The sequence below is a fragment of the Homo sapiens genome, chromosome X (assembly GCF_000001405.40).
Source record: "Homo sapiens chromosome X, GRCh38.p14 Primary Assembly".
NCBI lineage: Eukaryota > Metazoa > Chordata > Mammalia > Primates > Hominidae > Homo > Homo sapiens.
In genome coordinates this window covers 145,278,288-145,295,870 of record NC_000023.11, presented here as the reverse complement: position 1 = coordinate 145,295,870, position 17,583 = coordinate 145,278,288, and the positions used below count along the sequence as shown (strand labels likewise).

General features: G+C 35.7%; 1 annotated feature.

Moving 5' to 3' along the window:
• Positions 14,045–14,207: a silencer, noted in NCBI's record as "fragment chrX:144363184-144363346 (GRCh37/hg19 assembly coordinates)". NCBI's record gives its function as "represses an EF-1alpha promoter that drives an FKBP-Casp9 reporter gene in an ReSE screen in K562 erythroleukemia cells {active_cell/tissue: K562}" and the evidence as "EXISTENCE:reporter gene assay evidence [ECO:0000049][PMID:32094911]".

The following is a 17,583-nucleotide window of genomic DNA, read 5'->3' as shown; positions in this document are numbered from 1 at the left end:
ATTATGGGCAGCTGCCACCAAGCCCGGCTAATTCCTGTATTTTTAATAGAGACCGGGTTTCACCTTGTTGACCAGGCTGGTCTCAAACTCCTCACTTCAGGTGATCCACCAGCCTCAGCCTCCCAAAGTGTTGGGATTACAGGCATGAGCCACCGTGCCCAGCCGGTAAAATTGTTCTTAATTTATGAGGTTGTTTTAATAATTAAGTGCTATATTATTTGTAAATCAATACAAACAAAAAAGAATAAATAATGAAATCAGCTATTCTAAGTGATTTGTAGCTCACAAATTATTCTGGAACATAGCATAAGAACATAGACAATGAATTAAATAAATGAATAAAATGATTAAGTATTAATAATAAGTAATATATTATTAAATCAGTATCCTTGGAACATTCACCTTGGTGCTAGTTTAGGAACTGACTATATAGTAATGCAGAAAACACATGCAATCAATATTTTTGTGATGATAAGGTTGTAATTGGGAGGAATTACAAGAATAAATATGTGATTACACATTGTGAGTGCTGAGAAGGAAAGGGTTGGCTGCTGATATAGACAATAGTTGTGTGGTTCTAATTTATTTTTATTGCCAATCTGAGGAAGTTACATTTAAAATAATATGAAAGGAATGGGATTTATTAAGGCAAAAAGTATAGGGAAGGATATGAAAAGTAGCAGTTTCAGAAAAGAATGAATTAACTATAATAATGAATGTTTAGAAATATTTGATCATATTTTACCTTCATCCCCTTCTTAGCTAATGCTATATATACTTACTATACAGAAGGGCCCATGCATTTAATCCTCTTAAAAAGTTTGTATGGTAGATACTACTATTGTCTCTCGTAAAATTAGACAATGGATGCCGGGTGCGGTGGCTCACGCCTGTAATCCCAGCATTTTGGGAGGCCAAGGTGGGTGGATCACTGAGATCGGGAGTTTGAGACCAGCCTGAGTAACATGGTGAAACCCCGTCTCTACTAAAAATACAAAAATTAGGCGAGCCTGGTGGCGTGTGCCTGTAATCCCAGCTACTTGGGAGGCTGAGGTAGGAGAATCACTTGAACCTGGGAGGCAGAGGTTGCAGTGAGCTGAGATTGTGCCACTGCACGCCAGCCTGGGCGACAGAGCAAGACTCCATCTCAAAAAAAACAAAAAGCAAACAAACAAATAAAAAAAAATTAGACAATGGAGAACTAGAGAAGTTCTATTTGATGATGTGTAAGATGCTACCCACCCCCCAAAAAAGAAATCCCCCAATGATTCAATGCCTTAATTTGGGAGTATTATAGGAGAAATGCCAGACACCCAGAGCTACTGTCATATTCTGCATTGTCCCTATCTTGGATGGACACTTGCAGGCAAACATTGCCTGTATTGCAATGTGGAAGTTTCAGAAGAAAAATTCAATGTCATGTAAACAATCCCAGGTAGGGTAGTTACCATAGTGGGTATAGGCTTTGATTTGCCCCATGATTCTATGCATTACCAAAGATATTTGCCTGCTATAAAAATCTCTGTTTCTAACAGAACTGCCCAAAATGAAATATATAGCATTTCTTTCTTTGTCTGCATGGCTGTTGAATTGCCTTAGTAATACACTTTGTGGTATAAAATATGATTTATAGCTGTTGGAAAAATGATGACTCAAGTTCAAATACATTGAGCAGCAATAATGACAGAATTTATCTGGATGCTAGCAATGATCATGGGTTTTTAGACTTTGAGGTTAATGATAATTTATTTATTTTTAACAATTAAGATTTTCTTTAGGTTTTAAAAATAAAAGTGAAATAATTTTGTTACATTTCAAACATGTTGCTTATTATGTAAATATATTTACTACTGTACTTAGTTTTATTATATTTTACTTATTTATGATATTAGTTGGTGTGATTCTGTGAGTAGATATTCACTGAACCATTTTGTTTTACTGCATGCATGAATTTGACATTGGGATATCTTAATGTATTATTTACTGTATTCTAAAGTATTTGCTTATGCATACTGTAAATAAATTCATCTAAATTTATCTTATATTGATCTTGCTTTATGGCTTAGAGTCAATGTAAAGTATGTTTACATTATGGGCTCTAGGGTCAGATTAGATGCATTTGAACCTTGATTCCACCACTAACTGGCTATGTGATATCAGGCAAGTTCATCTCACAAGGCCTCATTTTCCTCTCCTGCAAACCAAGACCTAACTAGTACCTACTCTGATCATTTAGAAAATTAATAATATTAGATACATAAAGCACTTTAGTATAACATCCAGAATATAGGAAACATTTAATAAATATTTTATTTTCCTGTCACGATGACAAAGAAGAGCATTGTAGTTAAAAAGATAGACCCTGGAGTGAGCCTGAGTAGGTTTGAATCCTGGCTTCGGGATACTAACTTGCTGCATAAACTTGAACAAGTTTATTCTCCCAAGCTGTCTTTCCCTTCTCTATAAAATGGGAATAATAATGGTACTGCCTCATAAGGTTGCTGTGAGAATAAGTGATATAATTTATGTAAAGCACTTAGCATGTTATCTATGTATATCAACAAACTTTAGATATCATCATAATTATATCCGTGAATGCTTTACTAGTATAGCACATATAAATTGAGAGTATTTTCTGCTAACATTTTTTTGGTGGCTGTGTGCCAGTATTCACTTATATCAATATATTTCTTTTTGAGATATATGTTTTTATAATTTTTGGTTTGGTGGAAAAATTCTATACATTGATCAAATGTAATTTCCTACAGAATTCCTGTATAATATTTTTGTATTATATTAAATAATTCATTATTTCAAATTATTCTTTTGTAAACAAACTTTAAAACTTACAACAAAGCATTCTAAAATTTTGCTTTCTTTTCCTCAAGTTCTCCTTGAATAATTTGGATGCATCTTACTTACTTACAGCAAATAAGTGATTTTTGTAACCTTATACACATAGTAAATGGAGAATCCAGTTATAAACACAGTCAATCTGACATAAGTAGCTATACTCATTATATTTATAATTTATGAGCTTTTTATAGGAAGTAAAAATCAAGCTGTGCCTTAAAAGTATAGCACGGCTTGACAGAAGTCACTGAGAAAGGAGAGTAAAGCTTGAGCAAGGTCACTGATACAGTTTGGATTTGCATCCCTGCCTAAAACTCATGTCGAATTGTAAATCCCAACGTCGGAGGTGGGGCCTTGTCGAAGGTGATTGGATCATGGTGGTGTATTTCCCCCTTTGGTGCTGTTATCTAATAGAGTTCTCAGGAGATCCGGTTGTTTAAAAGTGTGTGGCTTATACACCCCCTCTCTCCTCCTCCTGTTCTGGCCATGATTGAAAGTTTCCTGCTTCCCCTTCCCCCTCTGCCATGATTAAAAGTTTCCTAAGACCTTTTCAGAAGCTGCCATGCTTCCTGTAGAACATGCAGAATCATGAGTCAATTAAGCCTCTTTTCTTTATAAATTACCCACTCTGAGTCATTTCTGTGTAGCAGTGCAAGAACGAACTGCTAGAATCACAGACGTGAGAGTGTTAATGCTGATTCACAAGGAAAACCTACTCGTTTAGATAGAAGCATATTGCATTGGAAGATGTAAAATGAGCTAAACCTAAAAAGGTAGGCTTGGGCAAAATAGGAAAAAATCCTTGAATGCAAGATTGAAGAGTTTTTCTTGAAGTTTTTCAAAAAGAGGAATGTTATCATCTACCTGTTGTTAAAGAAAGGGTCTCTGATGTTGTACAATAGATAGATTAATGAGGAGGGAGTAGGTTTCTGAAGACAGAGAGGTCATTTTGGAGATTTTACCAAGAGTTTAGGTCGCAGTTATTAATATCAGGAAATAGGGCATTGCATGGCATAGAAAATGGAAATGAGGCAATAGATGCAATCAATTCTACAGAAAAGGAAGAGATAAAAATATGGTATAAAACAGAAGGGGAAAAAGATGTAAAAGAAAATAAATTTAAAGGTTAATTTTAGGCAAAGAACTTTGTACATTTAAGTGAACACAATGATCTTATTTTTACTTAATGTTCTTTTTTTAACTTTTAAGTTTAGGGGTCCATGTGCAGGTTTGTTATGTAGGTGAAATTGTGTCATGGGGGTTTGTTGTACAGATTATTTCATCACTCAGGTATTAAACCTAGTACCAATTATTTTTTCTGATGCTCTCCCTTCTCCTACCTTCCACCCTCTGATAAGCCCCAGTGTGTGTAAAATGGTCTTGGACTTTTTTTCTGTTAATTGACTTTTTTTTTTTGGCTTCTGTAAATTTTTTTTTGAAGTCCATATGTGCCAAATTTTTTTTGATTGTTCTGAATTAGTTTTCTTATGAAAAGATTAATATAATGGTGAAAGAGAATAATCTTAGAGATCTCAAAATATCCTCCTCCCAAACACTTCCCCACAAAAGTAGAGAGTAATAAAATGAATGTAAACTACAGACTGGAAATGTTGTTTCTAACTTTTTTAAAGAAAACAAAAATATGGAGATATGTGGTGACAATCATTATATACAATATAGTACTAGGATTTGGTATTTGAACATGTTAAGTGCTCTTCAAATATCTGTTTATTTAAAATCATTTCTATTATATGTAATGGCTTTGAAATCAGTATTTATTTCAATAACAAGTTTTCAGTTCTATTAACTGAAATCCATAAAAGCATTCCAAACATAATTTATTATTATAGTTCAAGGAATTTCTAAACCAAATTATTGTTATATTGTGAATGTAACTAAAATAAAATTCTTGAACTATATAATTCATATAAAGCTATACAATTTAGTCTACCTTATAGGGATGTAGAAATGGCCATGGCATCTTTCAAGCATAAGTGACTAAAATTAATGAGAGGGAATGCTTGTTTCTTTGTTCACTAAAAGGAGTTACTTGAATAAGAAAATATGGATATTTTAAGATATGACAAATCATATGTTTAGTTTGCAAAATGTGATAGTCTGTTGTTATGTGATGCCCCAAATAACAGATACAAAATCATTATTAGAAGCTACAGTTAAAAACAAACAAATTCATAAACTAGAAGTATAGAAAAGACAAAGCTGGGAATAGATGTCAGCAAGAGCTCTCCAGCTCTCATTCCCCATCAATTTGAACAACTATCTATTTGTAAAAATACCTTCACAAGAGCTAAGAAAACCAGATAAGAGAATACAGAACCTGGATGTAACATGAAAATAAGAAAACATAAATTGAGAATGTAAAAATTACAATTTTACTTTGCTCATATCACCCCTCCAACAAACCAAGGCAACATAACATGAAGAGTTACTGTTAAATAGGGGAAGCAAAGGGAAGTGAGCACTAGGTTATGCTTCAGACCCCAATAATGGGCTTGCTCCTGTAAAACTCAGCACTGAGGAGGAGCTCACAGGCCCAGAATCTAGGTTGGCTCCTGAAGACTGAGCCTTCAGTCCCATCCCATTGTTAGACCAGATCCTGCAGTCACAGGCCTAACCCTAACCCCCAGAATTGTACTAACCCCAATAGCCACAGGATTCAGGCCTATTTCAGCACCAGGCCCTCTTCTGCAGCGCTGGTACCATGAATCTAGCCTGCAGACCAGCCCTAAGGAAACAGGCTCCAGGTCTACCCGGCACCAGGATTGACTCCAGCAGCCTAATTATGTGGACCAACCCTTGCACAAGGCAGGCCCCAACAGCCTTGGATTTGGGGCCCATCCCAGTATCAGGCTGCTTCCCCCAAATTCAGGCTTCAGGCACGCCCTAGGATGAGACCAGCCTCAGTGACCCCCAGGTCCCGGACTACCCCAGTACTGGGTTGGCCACCATGGCCCCAGGCTTCAGGCCTGCCCCAGCACGTAGCCAGCTCCTGCAGCCCTGGTAATCAGGCTGGCACATGCAGACTCAGCCTCCAGGATGGCCCCTGCAAATTCAGGATCCAGACTCATCCATCTCCAAGCCAGCCTTTGCAGCTCCAGCACCAGGTAGGCAAATCTGGCTTCAAATACCAGGAGTGTACTCATGGACACAGGTTCCAGGCCTGCTCAGTGCCAGGCGTATCCCTGCAACCACACTCTCCAGCTGACCCAGGGCCCAAGACTGTCCCAGTAGACCTTTGGTGCCAAACTGAATCCTATTGACTAAGGATTCAAGTCACTCCTCTGGACTCAGGCACCAGGCTAGCCTTGATGTATACAAACTGTCAAATAAAGAATATAAAATTATTATTTTAAGCAAGATCAGTGGAATTCAAAAAATACAGAAAAACAATTGAATGAAATTAGAAAAACAGTACATGATGAAAATGAGAAATTTAAAAGGGTAATTGAAATTACTTAGCAAATCAAACAAAAATTCTGGAGCTAAAATATATAATGAAGTGGAAAAAGCAATGGAGAGCCTCAAAAGCATAATTGATCAAGAATAAAGAATCTGTAAGCTCAAAGACATTATTTGAAAATCTACAGTCAGAGGAAAAAGAATGAAAAGAAATAAAGAAACTTATGGAATTTATGAAACAGCAGAATAAGAAAAATTGTTTGAATTATAGAAGTTTGTGAAGAAGAGACAGATAAAAGGATAGAATCCTTATTTTAAAAAATAATAGCATAACACATTTCAAATTTGGAGAAAGATATAAATATCCACATACAGAAAGGTGAAAAGTCTCCAATCAGATTCAATCCAAACAAGACTACACCAAGATGTATTCTAACCAAGCTGTCAAAAACCAAAGACAGAGAGGATCCTGACTGCAGCAAGAGGAACTAATGAAATAACCTATAAGGGAGTTTTAATGAGGTTGAAAGTGAATTTCTCAGCAGAGACCTTAAAGGCCAAGAGAGAAAGGAATGATATACTCATAGTGCTGAAGAAAGCAAACTTGCCAAACAAAAACACTGTGCCCAACAAAGGTGTCCTTCAGAAATGAAGGAGAAATAAAGACTTTTCCAGACAAATAAAAGCTGAGGGAGTTTATCACCACCAGACATCTCTTAGAAGAAATACTAAAGGGAGTTCTTCAAGCTCAAAGAAAAATATGCTAATTAGTAACACAAAACATGTGAAAGTATAAAACTCAACTTGTCAAAGTAATTACACAGTCAAATTCAGAAACTTTAACACTGTGATGGTTAGGTAAATCACGTACATCTTTAGTATAAAGGTTAAATACAAAACTATTAAAATAATAATAGCTACAACAATTTGTTAAAGAATACACAGTATAAGATGTAAGTTGTGACATTACAATTTTAAAATGTGGGGGAATGGTAGAATAAAAGTGTAGAGGTGTTTCTGTGATCTAAATTAAGTTGCTAGCTGGGCATAGTGGCATGTACCTGTAGATTTAGCTACTCAGGAAGGGGAGGCTGAGGCAGGAAGCTGCAGAGAGCTATCATCACAGCAGCCAGCATGACTGAGTGATACCCTATCTCTTAAAAAAAAGAACCCAAAAAAACCATTAAAAATGATAGTGGTATGTCCTTATTAATAATTATGTTGAATGGAAATGTATCAAGTTCACTGATCAAAATATCTAGAGTGGTTGAATAGTTAAAACACAAGACTCAAATATGTGCTGTCTACAAGAGTCTCACTTCACCTGTAAGGACACACATAAACTAAAAGTAAAGGGATGAAACAATACTTTCCGTTCCAATGGAAACCAAAAGAGAACATATGAAGCTATATTTATCTTAGATAAAATATCCTTTAAGTCAAACACTTTAAGACAGGACAAAGAAGGTCATTATATATTGGTAAAGCAATAAATTTATCGACACAATATAACATTATAAATATATATGCACTTAACATTAGACACCTGCATATATAAAGCCTATGTTAATAAATCTGAAGGGAGAGGTAGACTGTAATACAATAATATTAGAGAGCTTCAATACCTTACTTTCTGCAATGGCCAGATCATCCAGAAAGAAAATCAATAAGGTAACATGACACTTAACCTACATTTTAGACCAAATGGAACTCACAGATATATGAACATCCCATCCAACAGCAATGAAATACATATTTGTCTTAAATGTGCACAGGACATTTTCCAGGATAGATTCAATGTTGGGCCACAAAACAAGATTTAAATTATATTGAGTATATTTTCTGACCACAATATTATGAAACTAAAAATAACAGGAGAAATTTTAGAAATTTCAAAAATAAATGGAAATTTAAATATGCTTCTGAACAATAAAGAAATTAAAAGAGAAATTAAAAAGTCTGAGATAAGTGAAAATTGACAAACAAAATAAAACATTGTATGCACCTAAAGCTGTTCTAAGAGGGATGTTAACAGCAATAAATGCCTACACATAGCAAAAAGAAAGATCTCAAACAACTTAACTTTGCACATCATGAAACTAGAAAAGAAACAAATCCCAAAATTAGCAGAAGAAAGGAAATCGTAAAGATTAGAGCAAAAATAAATTGAATAGAGACTAGAAAAACAGTATGAAAGATTAACGAAACTAAGTTTATTTTTTTAAAGATAAACAACATCAACTCTAAAGATGCCACCAAAAAAAAAAAAATCCTGTTAGACTAATAAACAAGTAAAACTGCAGGATTTAAAATCAATATACAACAATCACAATCATTCCCTTACTCCCTTTAAGTGCTCTCTTCAGTTGGCTTCAAAACACCTCCTTCCTTACTCTTTTCATTTACTGTGATATCCTCATTCTTTTTTTTTTTATTTTTATTTTTTTACTGCTTCTTCCTGCTCTCCCTGATCTCTAAACTTTGAAATGCTCCAGGGCTCAGTCCCTGGATCTATACTCTTTCCTAATTATACTCACTCCATAAGTAATTACAACCAGTTTCATGACTTTTAATACCACCTATCCCCAGCCAAGATATGACTTTTGAACTCTCAACTCATATATCCAATGGCCTACATAATATCCCTACTTGAATGTCTATTAATATGTAAATATGATCTTTCCTTCTCCCATAAATATACTCCTTCATCAGTCACTCTCAACTTACTCAATGACAACTCTATACATAGTGTTCAAGGAAAACTTGTTTATATTATTTATTCCCTTCTTTCTCTCTTTCCCTGACTCTCCCATGTCAGTTAAGTGCAAGCTATTCTGATTGATTCATTCAATTCATGGAATGATTATAATGATATTTATGTTATGCTAATGAGAGTTATATGCAATTAATATTGATGAGTAAGGTTTATATAGAAGACAAATTTTCTCTAATGTTAATTTTATTTTTATTTATTTATTTATTTATTTAGAGACAGGATTTTACTCTCGTTGCCCAGACTGCAGTGCAATGGCATAATCTGAGCTCACTGCAACCTCTGGCTCCTGGGCTTAAGCGATTCTCCTGCCTTAGCCACCCAAGTAGCTGGCACATATCACCATGTCCAGCTAATTTTTGTATTATTTGTAAAGGCAGGGTTTCAGCCTATTGCCCAGGCTGGTCTTGAACTCCTGAACTCAAGCAATCTTCCCACCTCGGCCTCCCAAAGTGCTATGATTACAGATGTGAGTCACTATACCCGGCCTCTAATGTTAATTTTATTGAAGTTTAGGGGAAGAATAACACTATTTAAGTAGAAAACAGCTGCCAGTATATCATTTTACTACATATATTAAGACCACCTTGAGCAAAAGTAGGTTTGCCACATCTTGATTCTTCTCTTCTTACTATTCATTACCATCCAAAATAATTTTAAATATATTTAGTTACTGATTAATCTATTTTCTGATTCCCTTCCCCAAGAGAATGTGATCTCCCTGAGGCCAGTGCACATCATCTTTTTTCTTTTTAAGCTCCACACCTAAACAATGCCTAGAACTTTAAGAAACTCAGTAACTATCTGTTGGAAGATTGTGTGAATGGATGCATGGGTACAGAAAGCAACTAGTAATTCTGAAATTCAGAGAAAGCAGGAGAAAAGTTGAGGACTCTGATAAAAATGAACTTAATGCAGCTCGTTAAAGGCAATTAACACAATGAAAATAAGTTAAATATTAATATAAAGTCAGCACTTTTTTTCCCCCTTGGACATGGGACTTCTCCAGAACCCTATCCCATAGGGGACATACATCATGGATCAAGGGAGCATTTGTCAGTGTGATATGTCTTTTCTAAAAAACCTTATATTTCTGAAACTTTCTTTCCGTTCATGCCTAGGGCAGGATTATTTCCACAAAACAGTAAATTATAGTATTATCTCAATATTTAAAAGTAACATTTCAGAAGACTATTTCAAATGTCAAATTTTTAATAACTGATATTGCAACTTTTCTTAGCCAAGCCCTATAGTTTCTGAAAATTATTAATATTTTCTAATGAATCATCCTTTTATTTTAAAAAGTCCTGGCGTTCAGTTATTTTACTCAGGGTTGCCTTTCACATATACAAATATACAAATACAACTCTAGACAATGGTAACAGAAAACATGTTTCTTTATAAATGAGCTTATATTTCAAGGTATACTGAGAAATTATGCAGTTGTTATTTGAGATTTATTGTGTGGTAGAAAAATACAATGAATAATGTCTGGTAGTAAAATAAGAGCAAAAAAGACAAAACACTCCAGATTCTAAAGTGCATTAAGGAAATTATTTAAAAAACTGAGTCCTGAGAAATGTTACATTGATTGGAGGGGGCTTTCTGGAAGAGATATTTAACTCTATATAAAAAGAGGATTTTCTATAGTATACATCAGAATAATTATGCTATTAAATGCTATTTCCATTTTCTCCAGTATTGACCCACTTACGCCTGCCATATATTTATTTCTACTTTAACCATTGGTGAAAAGTTTTAATAAGACCTCAGTGAAGGAGGTCAGACAAATAGGAAACAAAGTGCGAAATAGTAAACATTAATTTACAAGGTCCTTGTATTAGTCCATTTTTATGCTGCTGATAAAGATATACCCAAGACTGGGCAATTTACAAAAGAAAGAGGTTTAATTGGACTTACAGTTGCACGTGGCTGGGGAAGCCTCACAGTCATTGTAGGAGGTAAGGAGGAGCAAGTCATGTCTTACATGGATGGCAGCAGGCAAAGAGAGAGAGATCTTGTGCAGGGGAGTGTCTCTTATTAAAACCATCAGATCTCGTGAAACTTATTCACTATCACAAGAACAGCACAGAAAAGACTTATCCCCATGACTCAATTACCTCCCACCAGTTCCCTCCCACAACATGGGAGAATTCAAGATGAGATTTGGATGGGGACACAGCCAAACCATATCAGTACTTAATGGACTGAATTCATCAAGTGATTACAAGTAAATATTTTTCTTTTTAAAAATTTAACAAATATATTATATTCCTATTTGTTATTATTTATAAATAATGAATATGTCAAGCAATAATTATCAAATGCTATATTTAAATGTCTAGTGTTTTTAGGAATATTGAATATCTTATTATTGTTATACTTTACTGATTAAAATGCCATGAATTAACATACATTGTATACTTGCTTTACATATTTAGGTATAGAACCAGAAAATTAATTGTCTAAAATCTACTCCACAGTTAACTAATGCTGTATCTTCTTTGTTAATACACAAATTACCAGCACAAGAGGTTGAATAAAAACATGTGGCCAAATAATTTTTGTTTAATGTGTAAGAATATGCAAAAAAGGCCGGGCGCGTTGGCTCACGCCTGTAATCCCAGCACTTTGGGAGGCCGAGGTGGGCAGATCACGAGGTCAGGAGATCAAGACCATCCTGGCTAACACGGTGAAACCCCGTCTCTACTAAAAATAAAAATTAGCCAGGTGTGGTGGCGGGAGCCTGTAGTCCCAGCTACTCAGGAGGCTGAGGCAGGAGAATGGCATGAACCCAGGAGGCAGAGCTTGCAGTGAGCAGAGATTGCACCACTGTACTCCAGCCTGGGCATCAGAGCAGACTCTGTCTCAAAAAAAAAAAAAAAAAAAGAATATACAAAAAATTTATTTTTATTTATTCAGTGAATTAAATTTATTTATACTGAATCAATTGGCAGTGATTCCATATAGACATGGATAGAACTAAATTTTAGATAGTAATAGAAAATTAAAAGTGCTATTAATTAAAATAAACTGTTTCAACAAGGAATGCCAAGTACTGGAAAGCATAAGTATTGCACTAACAAAAAGTCAGAGATTATACAATTATTTGATCTTTTACTATTATTATCAAAAGTGAGCTGAAAATTGAGTATACTAATACAGAAAATAGGAAAAGTGATTACAAAAGGCTAGAATAAAAAAAGCTAGCAAATGGAAATCGAGCACTGGCAGATTCAGTATCAATTTTATGATAAGTAAATAATCATTCATGGTTCAAGCAATTTACTTTTTAACAAAATTATATATAATATGTATAATTTTGAAAACACTACCAGTTCCACGGAATATTCAACATACAACTACCGTATAATTCAGAAATTCCACTCTGGGGCAAAGAGGCATAGCAAGACAGTTGAATTGAAGGCTCCACTGATCGTTTCCCCAAGAAGGACACCAATTCAACAACTATTAATATCTGCACAAAAGAAACACCTTTATAAAAATTAAAAATCAGGTGAGCACTCAAAGTACCTGGTTTTCACTTTGTAATGCTGAAAGAGGCACAGAAGTGGTAAAAAGAAACAGTCTCAAGTTGCAGACACTACCCCTAATTTATAACCTGGCAGTGGCGGCATGATCCAGAGAGCATTTCTGAGTGCTGGGAGAGGGAGAACGCAACAATTGTAAGGCACTAAACTCAGTGCTGTCCTGTTAGAGCAGAATGTAAAACCAGACCAAACTCAGCCAATGCCTTCCCTGGAGGGAGCAGTCAAACCAGCTCTAGCCAGAGGAGAGTCACTGATCCCAGTGTTCAGAATTTGAATTACTGCAAGCCTCACCACCACAGCCTAAAGTACAATGGGGATCTAAATAATTGTGAAATACAGTCTAGGCCAAAAGAACTGCAACACTGAGGCAAGTGCTACTGCTGAACTGATCCCAGAACCAGTAGACTGGGGGGCACATGACCTACTGAGACACCAGGCTTAAGGAAGTGCTGGCATCACTTGTCCCCTAACCCAAGGCTACAAAGCTCACAGCTATGAAAAACAAAAACAAAAACAAAAACAAAAAAAAAACCCTTTCTTCCACTTAAGGAGAGGAGAGAAAAGAATGGGGAGGAGTTTGTTTTGCATATTGGATACCTGCTCAGGCACAGCAGAATATAAAATTGGTCAGAATCATGAGGCCCTCTTTCCAGGACCTAGCTCCCAGATAGTATTTCTATACACACCCCGGGCCAGAAGGGAACCTGTTGTTTTGGAGGGAAGGACCAGCCTTGGCAGCATTCATCCCCTCCTAACTGAAGAGCCCTTGGGTCCTGAATAATGAGCAGTGATACCCAGGTACTGCATTGAGGGCTTTGGGTGAGCCTCTGAGATGTGCTGGATTCAGTTAAGACTCAGCACATTAACAACTGTGGTAGCTATAGGACAAAACTCCTTCTGCTTGAGAAAAGCAAAGAGAAAATAACGGGCACTTTATATTGCATCTAGGTACCAGCTCGGTCACAGCAGTGTCAAGCACCACGCAGGCTCTCAGGATCCCTGATTCCAGGACATGGTTCCTCGACGCCATTTCTGTAACTGCCCTAGGCTGGAAGATAGCCCACTGCTCTGAAGTTTGAGTCCCAGGCCAGGCAGCATTTATCAAAAGCTGACTGGAGAGCCCTTGGGCATTAAAGGAACATTGGCAGTAGTCTGACAGTGCTCCCATTCAGCCTGTGGTGGCAGTGGCCACAAGGTGAGGCTCCTCTACTTTTGGGAAGGGGAAGAAAGAGTGGTAAGGATGGTGTCTTGCAGTTTGAGTACCAGCTTAGCCACAGTAGAACAGAGCACCAGGTAGGAATCTAAGGTTTTTGAGTCTGGTCCCTTGCTCTTGATGGTACCTCTGGACCCACCCAGGGCCTGGGGAATCTCACTGCCCTGAAGGGAAGGACACAGGACTGGATATATCTGTCACCTGCTTATTTTAGAATTCAGGGTCTTGAGCAAACAAAAAGTAGCCAGGGAGTGGTTACTGCAGGCCTTGGGTGAGACCCACTGTTGTGATGGCTAGAGGTCTGACCCAGTGCAGTCCTAGGGGTGGTGACCAGAGGGGTGCTTGTGTCACTCCACCCCCAGCATCAAGTGGCTGTGAACAGAAAGAGACATTCCGTTTGTTTAAGATAAAGTAAGGGAAGATTACTCTTCCAGGTTGTGTTCAAGACTGTCACAGCAGTACCTCTACAAGTCTGGAAGAACCACGTTACTGTGCTTGAGAAACCCCATAAGCATATACAGCTTATATCACAACCCTCAAGTCATTGTGAATATCTGGAAAGACTTCCCAAGAAGGAAGGGTACAAACAAGCCCAGACAGTGAAGAGTAAAATAAATACCTAACTCTTCCATCCCCAGACATACACAAAGTATGAAGACAAACATAACCAAGCAAAGTATTCAGAAAACATAACCACACAATGGACTAAATAAGTCACCAGGAACCCATCTTGAAGAAAGAGATATGGGACCTTTCAAACAGAAAATTCAAAATATATATGTTGAGGAAACTGAAAGAATTTCAATATTACACAGGTAGGAAACTCAGAATTCTATCAGATGGATTTAACAAAGAGATTGAAATGCAAAGAATCAAGCAGAAATGCTGGAGCGGAGAAATGCAATTAGCATAGTGAAGAATGCACCCGAGTCTCTTAATAGCAGAATTTATCAAGCAGAAAAAAAAAAATTAATGAGGTTGAAGTCAAGCTCTTTGAAAATACACAGTCAGAGGAGACAAAACAAACATGCAAACAAAAACCAATGAAGCATGCCTACAAGATCTAGAAAAAACCCTTAACAGGGTAAGTCTAAGTGTTAAAGAGGAGGTAGACAAAGAGAGAGGGGTAGAGAGATTATTCAAAAAAATAGCAACAGAGAATTCCCCGAACCTAAACAAAAATATCAATATTCAAGTATAAAAATGTTATAGAACATGAAGATATAACCCAAAGAAGACTGCCACAAGGAATTTAACAATAAAACTCCAAAGATCAAAGGTAAACAAGGGATCCTAAAAGCATCAAGAGAAAAGAAGCAAATAACATAAAATGGAGCTCCAATACATCTGGTAACAGACTTTCTAGTAGAAACCATACAATCCAGGAGAGAGTGGCATGATATATTTACAGTGCTGAGGAAAAATAACTTTTACTCTAAATATCATATTCAGTGAAAATATCCTTCAAACATGAATGGAAAACAAACACTTTACCAGAAAAACAAAAGCTGACGAATTTAATCTACATCATACCTGGCCTATAAGAAATGCTAAAGCAAATACATCAATCAGAAAAGAAATGATGTTAATGAGCAATAAGTAATCACCTGATGGTATAAAACTCACTGGTTATAGCAAGTACACTGAAAAACACAATATATTATAATACTGTAACTCAGGTATGTAAACTATTCTTATCGTCAGGATAAAATAATGGTGAACCCATCAAAAATGATAACTACAACAACTTTTCAAGACATAATTCAATAAGATGTAAATAAATACAGGGAAAAGATAAGGGGGGAAATGTAAAGATGTAGAGTTTGTATTTTTTATTGGTTATGCAAACAATGTGAAGTTATCAGGTTAAAATAATGGGTTATAAAATAGTATTTGCAAACCTTATGGTAACATAAAACCAAAAAACAAAAAATGGATACACAAAAAATAAAAAGCAAGAAATTAAATTATATCACCAGAGAAGATTACCTTCACTAAAGAAAGAGAAGAAGGAAAGAAAGAAGGAAGAAAAGACTATAAAACAATGAGAAAACAAATAACAAAATGATAGGAGTAAGCCTTTACTTATCAATAGTAATGTTGAATGTAAATGAACTAAACTCTAGTCAAAAGACATAGAATGGCTCAGTGGATGAAAAAACAAGATGCAGTGAATAACCCGTTTCCCACAAAAAACACACTTCACCTCTAAAGACACACATAGAATGAAAATAAAGGGATGGAAAGATATTCCATGCCAAAAGAAACAAACAAACAAACAAAAAGAAGCAAAAATAGCTAAGCTTATATCAGAAAAAGCAGATTAAAAAAAGGTATAAGAAGAGACAAAAAAAGTCACTATGTAATGATGAGCAGGTGGACTAAAAAAGAGAATATAACAAATGTAAATATATATGAACCCAATACTGTGCCACCCTGATATATAAAGCAAATATTATTATAGCTAAAGAGAGATACCCCAATACAATAACAGCTAGAGTCTTCAGCACCCCATTTCCAGCTTTGGACAGATCTTCCAGACAGAAAATCAGGAAATAAACATTGGACTTAATTTGCACGATAGACCAAATTGATTGAAGAGATAAATGCTTACAGACTAATTCATTCGTGGCTGTAGAATACACATTCTTTTCCTAAGAATATCGATTATTTTCAAGGACTGACCATATGTTAGGCCAAAAACAATTAACCATTTAACAAATTTAACCATTTAACATTGTTAAATAAACCATTTAACAAATGGAAATAATATTAAGCATCTTTGACCACAGTTGAATAAGATGAAAATCAATAAGAAGAGGAATATTGGAAACTATACAAATATATAGAAATTAAATCATATGCTTCTAAATGACAAGTGGGCCAATGAAGAAATTAAGAAGGAAATTGAAAAAAAATTTGAAACCAATTATAATCAAAACACAGCATACCAAAACCTATGAAACACAGCAATAACAGTACTACAAGGAAAGTTTATAGCTATAAGTGCCTGCAAAAACAAAACAAATGTAATATTAGAAGAAGAGAAATAATAAAGATCAGAGCATAAATAAATAAAACTGAAGAAATAAAACAAAGATCAATGAAACAAAAAGGTGATTTATTGAAAAGTTACACAAAATTAACAAACTTTTAGCCAGACTAAAAAAAATCCAAATAATGTCAGAGATGAAAAAGGAGACAATACAACTCATACTGCAAAAATTTGAATAATCATTAATAGCTATAGTAAGTCTATAAGTCTCAGACAAAGGAACTTTTACCACTCACAGTCTTCACCAGATGCTCAAGAGAAAGGTATGGTACAGGGAGAGAGTACTGAGACACTATTTGCTGTGGTGCTGGCTTGAGGAAAGAGCACTGTAGCCACTGATGGAAGTAAATGAGGACCTTCTACATTTTTCTCCTCTCACTCCCCTATAAAACAAAAGGCTTAACCTGCTGGGGAAATAGCAATTAACACTGCTGCCCATAGGAAACTACAGAAGACCAAACATAGCTTAGGGAACTAAAAAGAAAAATAATTTTCTAGCTGTAGGAGAGAGACAGGATTGTGTCCTGGGCCCAGATCATTTGAGACTGGCCATAATGGACAGCAGGAAAGTCTTTGACATGGTCTCACTTGAAGACTCAGAAACACATAAGGTATATTAAGGCCTAAAACTGAGGCTAGATGAAAAGAAGAGAATGCTTTATGACATCCCCACCATCATCCTAGTGTAACAGGTTTACAATACCAAATGACAGCAATA